We start from the raw sequence: 836 nt of genomic DNA on the forward strand, positions 1-836 counted from the left end.
TCCTCCAAATGCAGTGATCCTTTCCAGAGCTCCTCAGACATGGATTTTATGTGCAAATGCTAAAGGCTATCAGCTTAATGCCTTGTAAAGATGTCTGTACCCTGCTTGTCAGTTCTGAAAGTCATACTGTTTTTATTTGACCCTAATTCTGCATCTCTATAAATTCTAGCCAGTGAAAGGCTTATAAAAGCAACAGAGAGTATGTCTACTCTTCTTTCTTTATGCTATTCATTTATGCATTCATCTGCTCATTCATCCATCATGTAGCTAATAGCCAAAGTTTCTATCAGATCTTGAATATAGAAATGCACATTACAAATCTCTACCCTTGAAAACTGAACAAGTCAAATACACAGTCAGCCAATACGATTAATCCTATGAAGAAAGTACAGCCAAAGATCTTACAGAAGCTGAATAAAAGAACTCCTGACTCACCAGTGAGGTTGGATATCAAAAAAGCCTTCAAAGAGGAAAAGACTTCTGACTAGACCAGCTATCTTCAGTGCAGGCAGGAGTATGAAGGCCTAACACGGAAGCAGAGAATGAGTCTCACAGATAATTATAATTTGCATACAGATTGAAGTAAATGGAAGTGGCATTCAAATGTTTAAAGAAGGCTGTTAGTGCTCTCCTACATTTTCGCTTTTCCAGACTAAATAGACCTGCCCTTAGTTCTTCATTATTTGTTGTATGGTTCGGTTTCCAAATATCTTTAATGATTTATTTTATGGCACTTTAATTCATCGAAAAATATAATGTTAAACAGCACAAAATATTCCACATAACTGAATTGCCTTTAGTCTTGCTGCGTTTACAAAGAGCACTGTTAAAACTAG

The 836-nt window shown here is 36.4% G+C and overlaps 1 annotated feature.

The window, feature by feature from the left end:
- Positions 375 to 575: a silencer, noted in NCBI's record as "peak6703 fragment used in MPRA reporter construct". NCBI's record gives its function as "represses an SCP1 promoter by STARR-seq MPRAs in K562 erythroleukemia cells {active_cell/tissue: K562}" and the evidence as "EXISTENCE:reporter gene assay evidence [ECO:0000049][PMID:32103011]".

Source organism: Homo sapiens, chromosome 7 (assembly GCF_000001405.40).
Source record: "Homo sapiens chromosome 7, GRCh38.p14 Primary Assembly".
In the NCBI taxonomy this organism is placed as follows: Eukaryota; Metazoa; Chordata; class Mammalia; order Primates; family Hominidae; genus Homo; species Homo sapiens.